Source organism: Homo sapiens, chromosome 6, assembly GCF_000001405.40.
Source record: "Homo sapiens chromosome 6, GRCh38.p14 Primary Assembly".
Taxonomy (NCBI): domain Eukaryota; kingdom Metazoa; phylum Chordata; class Mammalia; order Primates; family Hominidae; genus Homo; species Homo sapiens.
The window spans coordinates 145694061-145709495 of NC_000006.12; the positions used below are offsets into that span (position 1 = coordinate 145694061).

Genomic DNA, 15435 nt, shown 5'->3' on the forward strand with positions numbered 1-15435 from the left:
TTATATTGGTTAAATATCTATTGGATAGGTGTAGTCTCCTTAAGCAAAATAAATTTTACAATTATTATTCATATTATTTTATTTGAACTATCCTCTTTGGATTTTAATTATTTTAAATGTTTCATTTCTAGCATATGAACATAAGCTTTGATTCTAACACATTAATCTCTAATTTTAACTATTAACTCACCCACATCTGATCTCTCTCATGCCCCATCTGTTACTACCTCGGAAGCTATTATTGCATAAAGTTGTACAAACATGATATAGTCATTACAAACTCTTCGGCACTTTGATGTTCTCTTCTAATGGCAAAAACAAAGAAATAAAACGCACAAAAAATCTTTTTGTTCAACCAACTGCCTCTTTGAGATGATGAATCCTGTTCCAGTTGAGCACTTTGATGAATGGCAAAATGCAAACGTAGAAAATAGCTGAGTTCAGGGGTAGTCTTAGATACAGCTAAACTGTCCTTGCTAATGAAATGGAAACCTGAGATACAATCAGTGAAGGAGAGGATGAAGTAAGAGGTGTTAAGATTGACAAGAAGAAGGAAAGGTGAGATGCAGAAAGAGAAGAAAGAAGATCCAGCTAGAAAAACTATGTAAGAATAAAAGATAGTCAAAATACCCTGATCATGAGACCACCAAAGAGCAGTAAATGGCAAGCATCTTTTAATATTTAATGTGAAGTTTTATGCACTTCTGTAATATTTCTCTCTTCTCCTCCTCCCCAACTGTCAGTACAACCTACCACATTCACAAACAGATTTCTAGAGTGGAAGGAGAGAATACAGTTCCTGAGATAAAGAATAAGGGAATTCATCACCACTAGTCCTGTCTTATGGGAATTATTAAAGTGAGTTCTTTAAGCTGAGAAAACATACCACTAATTAATAACATAAAATACATGAAGGGAAAAAATTCAGTGGTATCAGTCAGATTCAAAATAGTCTTTTGCTTGAAAGGTGATGTGTAAAGCAATTTTATCTCTAACATGAGAGTTAAAAGACAAAACTATTAAAAACAACTGTGGCTTTGATAAATTGTTAAGGGATACAAATTACAAAAAGTTGCCAACTTTGACATCAAAATCATAAAATGTGGTAGGGAGGAGTAAACATGGAGAGCTTTTGTATTTGATTAAAGTTAAGTTGGTAACAGCTTAGAATAGCCTGTTACAGGTAATGTTTTATGTAAACCTCATGGTAATTGCAAAGCAAAACCCTATTATACTTCCACAAAATATAAAAATAAGGGATTCAAGACATATCACTACAGAAGACAATCAAACCACAAAGAAAGACAACAAGAGGAAGAATAAAAGATACACAGAACAACCAGAAAACAAATTATGAAAAGGCAGTAAGATAAGTCCTTACATACTATAATTACCTTGAGTGGAAATGGATTGAATTCTCCAATCAAAAGATATAAAGTGACTGAATAGATTGAAAAAGCAAAACATAACTAGATGCTGCCTACAAAATACTCACTTTACTTGTAAGAACACACGTAGATGGAAAATAAAGGGATGGAAAAATATATTCCATGCAAATGGAAGCCAAAAGAGAGCAGAGGTAGCTATATTTCTATCAGACGAAAAAGACTTTAAGTCAAACATCAGTAAAGAAAGACAAAGAAGGTAATTATATAATGATAAAGGTGTCAATTCTTCAACATTTATAAATATATATACATCTAACATAGTAGCTCCTAAATATTTAAGGCAGTTATTAAGCAATCTGAACGGAGAGATAGACTGAAATACTGTAATAGTAGGGGACTTTAATACTCCACTTTCAGCATTGGACAGAACATCATTTTTTAGACAGAAAATCAATAAGGAAACATTGGACTTTAATTACACTTTAGACCAAATGGACCTAACAGAAATATATGGCAAAGAATACACATTCTTCCCAAATATACACAGAACATCCTCCAGAACAGATCATATGTTAAGCCACAAAACAAGTCTTTAATAATTCCAGAAGACTGAAATCATATCCAGTATTGTTTCCTACCATAATGATATGAAACTAGAACTCAATCATAGGAGAAAACTGGGAAAATTTACAAATACGTGGAAATTAAACATGCTCCTGAACAACTAATAAGTCAAAGAAGGAATCAAAAGGGAAATTAAAGAACATCTTCAGACAAATGATAATGGGTATACAACATATCAAAACCTATGAGACACAGCAAAGGCAATTCTAAGAAGGAAGTTCATAACAATAAATGCCTATATCAAAAAAAGGAGAAATTTCAATTAGACAGAAGGAATAAGTTTTTGAGATCCATTGCACAGTAGGGTGACTAAAGTCAATAATATATTGGAAGTAGCTAAGAGTATAAATTTCAAAGGTTTCTCTCCACATAAAATAAGTGAAGTGATATGTGTTAATTAGCTTGATTTACTTATTCCACATATATACTCATATCAAAACATTACAATGTACCCCATACACATATACAATTATGATTTTTCCCTTAAAAATATCAATAATAGAAATAGGAATTATAAAGACAAATAAGTAACCCATACAGCAATGATTAAAACAGGTACTAGAATTAGAGATAACAGGGTTTTCTAAAATAAATGAAAATATATTTGATAAGGAAGTTAGAATTTGGAGGATCAGGAAAGAAAATATCAAATATGATAGTATGATCCTAGTAATGAATCAAACATCTGGCACAGGTAGGGGTATGTGTGTGTGTGTGTGTGTGTGTGTGTGTGTGTGTGTGTGTGTGTGTGTGTGGTGTGTTTCAAGGTAGAAAACTGATTACTATGATTATTGTTATTTTGATGACAAATAATATTGTGAAATTTTGGATACATGAGCACCAGCCTTTCTGTACATCTGTATATGTAAACTTGGCTAGCTCTTTTAGTCAAAAAATGAGCCACACAGCCTAAGACAATTACTGCACAGAATTATGGTAGAATTACAACTCAGTGGGCTCATAACTTGGTGCATAATAGGTTGGCCTCATTTGTTATTGGGGGAAATTCAGCCAGATATTGGGCAAAATTCACCCCCGATATTTCACGTAGGTTCTTTTCTATTTTCCCTAAGTGTCAGCCGATCTGAGAAATAAGGGACAGAGTACAAAAGAGAGAAATTTTAAAGCTGGGTGTATGGGGGAGACATCACATGTCGGCAGGTTCCGTGATGCCCCCGGAGCCGTAAAACCAGCAAGTTTTTATTAGTGATTTTCAAAAGGGGAGGGAGTGTACCAATAGGGTGTGGGTCACAGAGATCACATGCTTCACATGGTAATAAGATATCACAAGGCAAATGGAGGCAGGGCAAGATCACAGGACCACAGGACCGGGGCAAAATTAAAATTGCTAATGAAGTTTCGGGCACACATTGTCAATGATAACATCTTATTAGGAGACAGGGTTTGAGAGCAGACAACTGGTCTGACCAAAAATTTATTAGGCGGGAATTTCCTCGTCCTAATAAGCCTGGGAGCACTATGGGAGACTGGGGTTTATTTCATCCCTACGGCTCGACCATAAAAGATGGCCGCCCCCCGAAGCGGCCATTTTAGAGGCCTACCCTCAGGGACGCATTCTCTTTCTCAGGGGTGTTCCTTGCTGAGAAAAAGAATTCAGCAATATTTCTCCCATTTGCTTTTGAAAGAAGAGAAATATGGCTCTGTTCCGCCCAGCTCACTGGCGGTCAGAGTTTAAGGTTATCTCTCTTGTTCCCTGAACATTGCTGCTATCCTGTTCTTTTTTCAAGGTGCCCAGATTTTATATTGTTTAAACACACATGCTGTACAAACAATTTGTGCAGTTAACGCAATCATCACAGGGTCCTGAGGCGACATACATCCTCCTCAGCTTACGAAGATGATGGGATTAAGAAAGTAAAGACAGGCATAGGAAATCACAAGGGTATTAATTGGGGAAGTGATAAGTGTCCATGAAATCTTCGCAATTTATGTTCAGAGATTGCAGTAAAGACAGGCATAAGAAATTATAAAAGTATTAATTTGGGGAACTAATAAATGTCCATGAAATCTTCACAATCCACGTTCTTCTGCCATGGCTTCAGCCAGTCCCTCCGTTCAGGGTCCCTGACCTCCCGCAACAATTTGTTCTCAACAATTAGAGTTAAGGTCATTCAAATGCTTATGAGAACATAGACAAAGGTCCTTGAGACATTTGTTATGCTTCAAATTCTATGAGAAAATAGACAAATGTCCTTGAGACAGTTGTTTAGCAGTCCAGTATGACGCGTTAGCCCTCTCAAAGGTAAGCTCAAGGCATGCAGAAAAAGGAAACAGAAGGAGTGATTGACAAAGCTTAGCCTTGGATTCACTATCTGCCAAGCCTCCAGTGGGGATCTTTGAGGGAAAACTCCCAGAAGGACCTTGATCAGTTCCAGCTAAGAATTTTAAGGGAAGACTTAATTAACAACTGTCAAACCATACAGAGCAGAAAATAGTACAACAAAAAACTTCTATGATTATAAAAAGACATGGATGAAATGGAGGCTTATACCAAGTTAATTTGAAGAAACATAATAGAAAAAAAAAAAACAAGGTAAAAGCAAAAGTAAAATTTAATCGTGCATTTTTTAAAATACTAATAATTGAATATCCCATTGTTATGGACTGTATTGTGTCTCCCCCACCCCAAAATTTATATAATGAAGCCCTGACCTCCCAATGTGATTATATTTAAACATAGGACCTTAATTAAGGTAAAACAAGATCACAGAGTGAAGTCCTAATGCCATTACACCCCATAAGAGGAAAAAACACCAGAGATCTCTCTCTCCTCAAGCACACTGAGGAAACACCGTAAGGATACAGGCAGATGGTGGCTATCTGCAAGCCAGGAAGAGAAGCATTACCAGTAACGGAATCTGCCAGCACCCTGATCTATGACTTCTAGTCATCAAAATTGTGAGAAAATAAACTTCTGTTGTTTAAGCCATCCAGTCTGTGGTATTTTGTTATGGCAGTCCTAGCAGACTAATACACTCATATATGCAAAATATTCCAATTTAATCCAGTTAATAATCAAGTATGATTGAGAGCTTGTTATGTATCCAGTCCTATGCTAGGAAGGGGTAATAAATGAAGTTTAAAACATGATTCCCACAATAAATGAACTTCTGTTGATTAGATAAAAGTTATAGGAAGCCATTAGTGAGTGAAACGAAACTAAATTATGAAAATAATTTTAAAACTGTATGTTAACTGAAACATGAACAGAGTACCAAAGGATTGCAAATAGGCCTCATCTCAAATGCCACTTTCCATGTATGATGACTGAAAGGCTATGCTGAGTTGTATTCTAAGGATCAACTGGCTCACTGGGAGAGAAAAATTATGATAGGTTTGTGGTGTGCATATGAATGTAGAAAACTAAAAATGGACTATGTTGGAGAAGGTAATATCAGTATGGGCTAGAATTACTGAGAAAGGATTTATAATAGAGGGAATGGGTGCTATGCTGTGATGAACAACAGGATATGCTTTAGACACATGACAAAGAGTACAAGAATGTATGAATAAGTATGATTCAAGTTAGGAAATGGATAAGAACAAATCTGTTTATTTCAGTGGGTAGAGTGACAACACTGGCCCATAGGATGTCCATATTACTGACTGAATTCCAAAGCCAGCACTGTAAAACAACTGGATTTCATGACTTGGAAAGTGAAGAACAGAATTACACATCTCTAACCATTACTGTATTTAAGAAGGCATTTTTTAATGCAAAGCATTTACATTAGTTAATGATTCATGATGATAAACATATTTCAAAATAGGAAGCATTTCAAAGGTTGTAGATTATGCTGAAAAAATTCCACAATGGCATTACCAGACAATTATGCTTTCATTTAAAATTAAACACAATAACAGAGCTTTCTTGAAATATAATTTTAAAATCAAATCTGAAACTCAGATTACTCTTAATAGGCTTCACTCAAACCATCAAGATTGAATTATTAATAATTCATTCAATGTGATAATAATCTAAAGAGATGCCAAAAGATTTGACCACCTAATTTGATGTGATCAAAACTTTTGGCAGTTTATTATACTATGACTAAAGATCAACCTATTAAAATGTGCCATCTCTGTATTATTGGAAACATTTGCTGGATACTGAAATTTACTTTCTATGTCACATGCAGAGATGTTTATTTTTGTGTTTAATAAATTTTGATTTAATTATTCTAATAATCTTTAATGTTGATTTTCCTACTGTCATTAAAACAATTTTCATGGCAGTGTCTAGACTTTTGTTGTTGTTGTTAAGACTGGTAGTTCATTTTTTTTCCTTCATGGCACTCTCAGAATTAACTAGAAATTTCCCTATTCATAGCCTGAACACAAATCCAAGTCATATGTTAAAAATAGATAAAGCATCTATATCAGTATTAGTCTCATTGTATAAGCAAATTTTTCTAACCACATTTTGCTACTTCATTTCGTATACCTTAAAGCCCACACACACAAAAAAAAACCTATCTTTGTGCACTTAAATATACAAATAATGCTGAGGCAGAAGGAGATAACTTCCCTAGTAGCTATATCTCAACAGTGTCCAACATTTAGTTGCAGAGAACACAGAATATAACTATTCATCCTGGAACTCTTCAGAACATTGAGAAATATTTTACATTTAATTCCATCCTAACCCAGCTAGCTAGGTAAACATGCATTTTGGCAGTTTCATAGTAAGAACATATTTGGCATAAAATATGTCTTCAATTAAGATTTTCCAGAATGTGGACTAAATAATTTAGTAAAACACTCCCTTGAGCTGATCTAGTTCTGCTGCAAAAACCATCCCTGATAGCTTCACACATTGCTTTCTTCCATGGCAAAAATATTTTACGAATATTAAGGGCATACAGTTGACATGAATATCACATATGCATTGGAAAGAAACTAGAAATATACAGCTAGTTGAAATGGAGGATAAAGTGACCAAATACAATCTTTAAAGATGAAATTGAGAAACTAGGTTGTTTTAAATCCTTTTAATAAGACATTATAAACTGAAAATAAAAGAGGGCGTAATCCTGGCAATTAGATTATCCTAAAATTTGCCGTAATCATAAACTACACATGTATAAGAAACAACTGAAGAAGAATTTTCTTTCTTTCAGAACTATGTCTGATTGCAAGCAACAGAAAATCTGGTTAACAGTGACCTAAACAAATATTAATATAAGACTCTGTCTTACATAACTAGAGGTGAGAAGCCAGGTAGCCCAGAGCTGGTCAACACCAAGATCTTCCTAAATGTCTGCTTTGCCGTCCTTCACATGCTGACTTTTGTCAAGCTTCTAACCTGATGTTCATAGGGTCACCTCTAGGCATCATGTCTGGAGTCCTAACCATGAAGAAGGGTGAAGGACCATGCCAGCTAAGCCTTTGTTCCTTTTCATGAGAAAAGCAAAAGCATTCCTGAGAGCCTTGCCTTCCCATATCTCATGAGCCAGAACTAGGTGACATTAACATCCCTAGGCCAATTGCTACCCAAGAGGAATAAGATTACCATAACTGGTTATAGCAATGATTCATTCCATTGCTACCTAAAGAAATCAGGATTCTGTTGGCTGCGGAGAGTGGAGAGAAACAAATAATGGTGATAGTGATGCACTGGAACACATTATCTTTCTCCAGCAAGTAATTTTGGAGGATAAATCATATTTCCTTAGGCATCACATCTCCACCTGATTTAATTCAAAACTATTCCATGTATTACATTTTTAATTGCAACTGATTTTTATTTAAACAAGTCAGCAGTAAAAGTAGAAGCATTTTAATGTACTCTTAAAACTTGCCAATTGCCACACACACACACAAAAAAAGCGAGCAAGAAAGAGAGTACCAGTTATTTGTCTAGTTCTTGATTGTGTCTGGCTTATACCTCTTCGCTATAACACAGAATCTTCTCATTCTATTCCTGGCTTTAAATCTCCCCAAATCCCTCCTCTTCCAGGTTTCCAATCATCTCTGCCCAACAGCATCTCTTATTGCCTTCTCTTGCCTCTAGCTAGCCCTGTGCTCACCCAGCACTCTTACTTCCCTATTCATTCTTCAGCGTCCTGCAATATGGCATCTGCACTCAATGCTCTATGGAAAAAAAACTTTAAACAAAGTCATCTGCTAGTTTCCATAATAATTTTTCACATTTCTTTACCTGTGTGCAATACTTAATGAGAGTGACCACCCTCTGTCGAAACTCTCCTTTGTAGGTTCCGTAAAACTTCTTTCTTGAAAGACAGTATTTTATAGCAGTTAAGTGCATGGGCTCAAGATTCAGACTCAGACTTCATTCCAAGTTGTATGATTTACTCTTTGTAAACAGTAATGAGAAAATCATTTAAGCAAACTGTGTCTGTTTTCTTATTTGCAAAAAGAAGAAAAAAAGAAAAAGAAAAATGCCTATCTGCCTCATAGGGCTGTTGTGAGAGAATTCAATGAGATAATCCATTTAAAAGATTTAACATAGAAACTATCACAGTTGATGTTCAACAACCAGTAACAGCTCTTAACTATTACCTTACACCTCTTCCAGTCCTCCTAGTCTTTGCAAAACTGTACACTAATGCAAAAGAGGTATACTACTAAAACAAACTCAAATTATTTTAACAATAACCTTGTTCAGACCTATATGTATCAAGACAAGACCATAATAACAGTAACTCCACTTGGGCTTATGTGTTTCCAAGGTACAAGATTTTTCAGTAACTCACATAGTTTACAATTTCTGCCCAACCCCTGCCCAACCATGCTAGCTTTACCCTAAAACTGAAACTACAAACTCTTTTCTCTTTGACTTGTGATCAATGCAATTTCTCTTGTTCTCTATTTTTATAAAATAACTTAATGCAAATGTAAGAGTTAACTTTTATTAATCTCTTCTTATTGGTTTATTCCTATCTGTGGGACAAAATATTTTGAATAGTGCTCATCTTAAACAAAATACCAGCTATCTCTCCCAACTTTCTCTTATCAGCAAATTTGATAAACATGTTTCTTTTTTTTTTTTTTTTCGAGACGGAGTCTCGCTCTGTTGCCCATGCTAGAGTGCAGTGGCACCATCTCACTCACTGCAAGCTCTGCCTCCTGGGTTCACACCACTCTCCTGCCTCAGCCTCCCAAGTAGCTGGAACTACAGGCGTCCGCCACCACGCCCAGCTAATTTTCTGTATTTTCAGGAGAGACGGGGTTTTGCCGTGTTAGCCAGGGTGGTCTCGATCTCCTGACCTTGTGATCTGCCCGCCTCGACCTCCCAAAGTGCTGGGATTACAGGTGTGAGCCACCACATGTGACCTTAGATATTCTTTAAAAAAAAACTTCCTTTTTTTCTTCCTGAAAACAGCAAAGATTTGGCACAAAACAATTAAAATGTTACATAGCATTTTAGCCATTTAAAAATATTTATTCTATCTACATCAAGTTTTATAAACAACTTTAAACAGCCTAATTTTTCAAGGCAATTACTCTCTTATACAGAATACAGTGATTATGTCAGTTTAAAAATTGCACTGATAGTCTCTTTACAAGTGAAAACTAGCAATCCATTACGCTGCTGAATGACTCTGATCTTCATGCTGTAGGATACAACTACTCTAACACATTTATGCCATTACTTACCTCAAAACCTTAATATCAACAAAAGTCAGCAAGGAATTATTCACCAAGCTTTACAAGTATACTTTTCTTATTTAACTCATCTTGTGGGACTAATTTTCTAGGAAATTCTGACACAAAGTTAACTGATATGAAACCATGATAAAGTGTTTCTCGAACATGTCATAAACATCAAGGATTTCACATAACAACTGTGTGATGATCTTCTGATGATAGGATAAAATAGGCATCACTGGTATTATCAGTTAAAAAGGACATCCATCAGCTTAATTTTAAAAACATTATTTTAAAATTGTCATAAAGAACCAATAGCAAGATTTTTGTAGGTTATTTTTAACTACTTTTAATTACCTACATCAAAGTAATCTGCTTATATCTGAGCAAAATTAAGCTATCTAATACATATTCCCAAATGAAGCAGAAGTTCTTAATAAATTGCTAAGCTTAAAGAGACTGCAGTCACATTTACTTCATTAAAGATTTTTTAAATGAATGGTAGTGGTTTATCTGAATTCTTTGAGAGAAAGGGAGTGCATGGGATGAGAAAGGAGAAAGATAAGGTTGGGAAACAATGAGGTACTTATTTAAAATAGTTATCAAATTTTTTTCTATAAGATTATATACAAACTATAAAAATTACAGTAGAGTGCAAGTGAAATACTGCCACCCAGTGGAAACAGAATATAAATAAAGTATTCAAATTTGAAAAGATTTTAAGAATTTCCTATCGCTTTTCATTTGGAATAATAGAGTTTAATAATTTTCAAAGTATTCTAAAATGTATTGTTTCTCAAAAAATCCAGTGGGACAGATAGCGGAAGTGTTAGTACATCTTTTCCTGAGTCTAAATTTCAAGATTAAATGACCTGACAGTCCTATACTTATACAGCAAAGCAAGGACTGAAGCCCAAGGCTGCTGGCTCTCAGTTCACTGCTGTTCACACCATATAACCCCTCCTAAAAAGCCTTTGACACCTCCATCTTTGTCCAAATATTGTACTTCATAGAGGATAAAACTGAGACTCAAAGATTATCACGTCCAAGGGTTCTTGGAAAAATAACCTGAGGCAGTACCCAAATGGTATTAATATTCTTAGAAGACTTCTAGTTTTCCTTTAAAATTCCTTTGAGATTTGTGTACTATTCCATAAGATAGATGTGTCTGTTTTAATTTCTAAATAATGCTTTTTTCCTCAAATGTCTTTTAGAAAAACTTATGCTTTAAGACAGCGTTGCATCTTTATCTCATGTTACAAATTTCCAGGCACATAATCACATTGAAGAAGGAAGATGGAGTGTATTCCAGTTTGAAATTTCTGGAAAGTGCCTTGCTCAAGTTCATATATTTATCAAGCATTTAATGAACATCTGCTACATGACAGGCATTGTTTTTGGTCCTAGGGCTTGCTGTAATAACAACCCCAAAGTATCAGTGGTATAAAAGAGCAAAGGTTTGGGCTGGGCACAGTGGCTCACGCCTGTAATCCCAGCACTTTGGGAGGTCAAGGTGGGTGGATGGCTTGAGCCCAGGAGTTCAAGACCAGCCTGGGCAACATGGTGAAACCCTGTCTCTACCAAAAACAAACAAACAAACAACAAAATATAGATATATAGATATAGATACAGATACAGATATATAGATATATATAGAGATAGATAGATATACACATGCACACACATACACACACACAAGTTAGCTGGGCATGGTGGCGCACACACCTGTAGTCTCAGCTACTTGGGAGGCTGAGGTGGGAAGGTCACCTGAGCCAGAGAGGTCTAGGCTGCAGTGAGGCAAGATTACGCCACTGCACTCCAGCCTGGGCGACAGACTGAGACCCTGTCTCAAAACAAACAAACAAAGAAAAAGTGCAGGGGTTTGATTATCTCCCATGTTAGAGTTCATTATAGATTGGCTAGGGGCTCTTGTTCACATTGTCATCATCTTCATGCTGACCATCAAGGCAATCCCTATTTGAAATAGCAACAATTTCTTGGCAAAGAGAAAGGAGAATGAGGCAACGCAACAGGAAATGACACACAGCACTTCCTCTCATATTTTACTGGCCAAAGCAAGCCACATAACAAAGATATACTTCTTCAACAGAGCAAAGAAGAACAATCTTCCCCTGGGGAGAGGACATGGATACTGGTAAACAGTAATCGCCTGCCATGCTCCAACATTTCCAAGATATACCAAGGAAAGATGGTGCTGGGTAACATGGAAGAAAGAGATCAGATCTCTCTGTATATGTGATGGGAATTCAAGCAATTTATTTAAATATGAAAAGAAGGGGTTTGCATAGAAGGCTGGAAGACTTGGAATGTTTAGGTTTCAGATATTCAAGATGCAAATGACTACATATTAGACAAGTAGAGAAAAGGTATTTAGAATGTTTGTGAGTATAAATTAAGACTCAAAGTCCCAGTTCTGGACATAGTACTTTATCAGTGTAAATCCATAAGAGCTGCCTGTATCCCATGAAGGATCCCACATCTTAACAGGAATTACACTGTAGGGTTGCTTATTGGGCATATACACAAAACTATAGCCAGGTAGGTGGTGTGTCAGAGCCTGATGTACAAAAATTATACCTAGAATCAACACATTAGGTTACCTAATTTATATATATGTAAACCTGCAAACAGTTGAGTGAGGACAACAAAGCCAGAAAGTGCACTAACCACATATATAACCGAAATATGTAACTTCACTAAACTGCATGCTATTTTTATAGCTCAATAACATTTGCTCCAGCTGGAAGGGTGCATGTTTTTCTTTCCCTCTGCTAATGCTGGAAGGTTAAGTCTCAGACAAGAAGCTCTAACGAAAGCCTTTATACTAAATCCAATCAACACTGATGGCCTAGGTAGCCACTGGAGAAAAACAGAGCAACTATACCTACAATGCACTAAAAGACCATGGCAGACAACACATAGAGATTAAAATAATATGCCGCTGTACTCCCAATCCAAAGGAATGTGTATACGCATGTGTTAGTGTTGTGTATTAATAAGATGGTTTTGTTCAAATACATTCAATAATTTTATATTGTATAATTGCTTGCTATGTTTAAGAATTATATAATAAATATAAATTATTTGAAGAGGCCACTTGCTATAGTTTAAGTGTTTGTGTTGCTCCAAAATTTATGTTTAAACTTAATCCCCAATCCAATGATATTGAGGTAGGGACTTTTGGAAAATGATTAAGTCATGAGGGCTCCACCCTCATTAGTGGGATTAGTGTCTTTATAAAAGGGCTTGAGGGAATGAGTTCATCCCTTTTCCCCTCTGCCATGTGAGGCTGCAGCAAGAAGGTATTATTTTGGAAACAAAGAGAAAGCCAAATCTATTAATACTGGTGCCTTAATCTTTGACTTCCCAGCCTCCAGAACTGTGAGAAATAAATTTCTTTTGTTTATAAATTACCCAATCTAAGGTATTTTTGTTATAGCAGCCTGAAAAGGCTAAGACACTACTTCTGATTGGTTTCCATATTATTACACCAAAGTCAATGTAGTGAATGTATCATGGTTTATTGTAGAACTAAAACTGCCATGATTTTGTCAGAAATCCAAGAAAATGGTACAGTACTAAGATAGGAAGTGGCAGGGGAAGAGCAGGCAAAAGTAAATAATTGCCAGATTGTGAGAAACCAGAAAGACCATACTAAGAAGTTTAGACTTATTTTATAGGAACTAGGAAATCATCTGATATGGTTTGGCTGTGTCCTCACCCAAACCACATCTTGAATTGTAGCTCCCATAATTTCCATGTGTCATGAGAGGAACCTGGTGGGAGGTAATTGAATCATGGGGGTGGGTTTTTCCCTGTGCTATTTTCGTGATAGTGAATGAGTCTCATGAGATCTGATGGTTTTATAAAAGGGTATACCCTTGTACATGTTCTCTTGTCTGCTGTCATGTAAGACGTGATTTTGCCCTTCTTTTGCCTTCCGCCATGATTGTGAGGCGTCCTCAGCCATGCGGAACTGTGAGTCAGTTAAACTTCCTTCCTTTTGTTATAAATTACTGAGTCTCAGGTATATCTTTATTAGCAGCATGGGAACAGACTAATATAGTAAATTGGTATCAGTAGAGTGGGGTGCTGCTATAAAGATACTTTAAAATGTGAAAGTGACTTTGGAACAGGATAATAGGCAGAGGCTGGAACAGTTTGGAGGGCTCAGAAGACAGGAAGATGTGGGAAAGTTTGGAACTTCCCAGAGACTTGTTGAATGGCTTTGACCAAAATGCTCATAGTGATATGGACAGTGAAGTCCAGACTGAGGTGGTCTCAGATGGAGATGAGGAACTTCTTGTGAACTGGAGTAAAGGTCACTCTTGCTATGCAAAGAGACTCGCACCATTTGGGCCCTGCCCTAGAGATCTGTGGAACTTTGAACTTGAGAGATGATTTAGGGTATCTGGTGGAAGAAATTTCTAACCAGCAAATCATTCAAGAGGAAGAAGAGCATAAAAGGTTGGAAAATTTGCAGCCTGATGATGCAATAGAAAAGAAAAACGCATTTTCTGGGGAAAAAATCCAGCTGGCTACAGAAATTTTCATAAGTAATGATGAGCCAAAGGTTAATCACCAAGACAATGGGGAAAATGTCTCCAGGGAATGTCAGAGACCTTTGCAGCAGCCCCTCCCATCACAGGCCTGGAGAAGCAGGAGGAAAAAATGGCTTCCTGGGCTGGGCCCAGGGCCCACTGCTGTATGCAGCCTAGAAACTTGGTGCCCTGTGTCCCAGTCACTCTAGCCATGGCTAAAAAAGGCCAAGGTACAGCTCAAGCCATGGCTTCAGAGGGTATAAGCCCAAAGCACTGGCAGCTCCGGTATGGTGTTGAGCCTGTGGATGCATGGAAGTCAAGAATTGAGGTTTGGGAACCTCCACCTAGATTTCAGAGGATGTATGAAAAGCCTGGATGCCCAGGAAGAAGTTTGCTGCAGGGGCGGGGTCCTCATGCAGAACCTCTGCTAGGGCAGTGCAGAAGAAAAATGTGGGATTGGAGCACCCACACAGAGTCCCCACTGGGGCACTGCCTAATGGAGCTGTTAGAAGAGGGCCACAAACCTCTAGACCTCAGAATGCTGGATTCACCAACAGCTTGCACTGTGTGCCTAGAAAAGACACAGACACTCAACAGCAGCCCATGAAAGCAGCCAGGAGTGGGGCTGGACACTGCAAAGTCTTGCATTAGTGTGACCTGGATGTGAGATATAAAATCAAAGGAGATCATTTTGGAACTTTAAGGTTTAATGACTGTCCTATTGGTTTTCAGACTTCATGGGGCCTGTAGCCCCTTAATTTTGGCCTATTTCTCCCATTTTGGACTGGTGTATTTACCCACTGTCTGCATCCCCATTGTATCTGAGAAGTAACTAACTTGCTTTTGATTTGATAGGCTCATAGGCAGAAGGGGCTTGCCTTGTCTCAGATGAGACTTTGGACTGTGGACTTTTGAGTTAATATTAAAATGAGTTAAGACTTTGGGGGACTGTTGGGAAGGCATGATTGGTTTTGAAATGTGAGGACATAAGATTTTAGAGGGGCCAGGGCAGAAGGATATGGTTTGGCTGTGTCCCCACCCAAATCTTATCTTGAATTGTAGCTCCCATAATTCCCATATCTCATGGGAGGGACCCAGTGGGAGGTAATTGAATCATGGGGGAGGGCTTCTCTCATCCTGTTCTCGTGCTAGTGAATAAGTCTCACGATATCTGATGGTTTTATAAAGGGGAGTTCTCCTGCACACACTCTCTGGCCCGCCGCCATGTA

The 15435-nt window shown here is 37.1% G+C and overlaps 1 protein-coding gene across 13 annotated transcripts in view; it reads right to left on the bottom strand.

The window, feature by feature from the left end:
* The window catches only part of EPM2A (EPM2A glucan phosphatase, laforin), a 352671-nt gene that overhangs the window by 310708 nt on the left and 26528 nt on the right, over positions 1-15435 (bottom strand). The window contains exon 1 of one of the 13 annotated variants that reach the window (XM_024446551.2): positions 8194-8413. The exons of the other annotated variants lie outside the window; for them this stretch is intronic. The gene's annotated coding sequence lies outside the window, so the exon portion shown is untranslated. Of the gene's footprint in view, positions 1-8193; positions 8414-15435 lie in introns of those variants that run through there. 13 annotated transcript variants of the gene reach the window in all.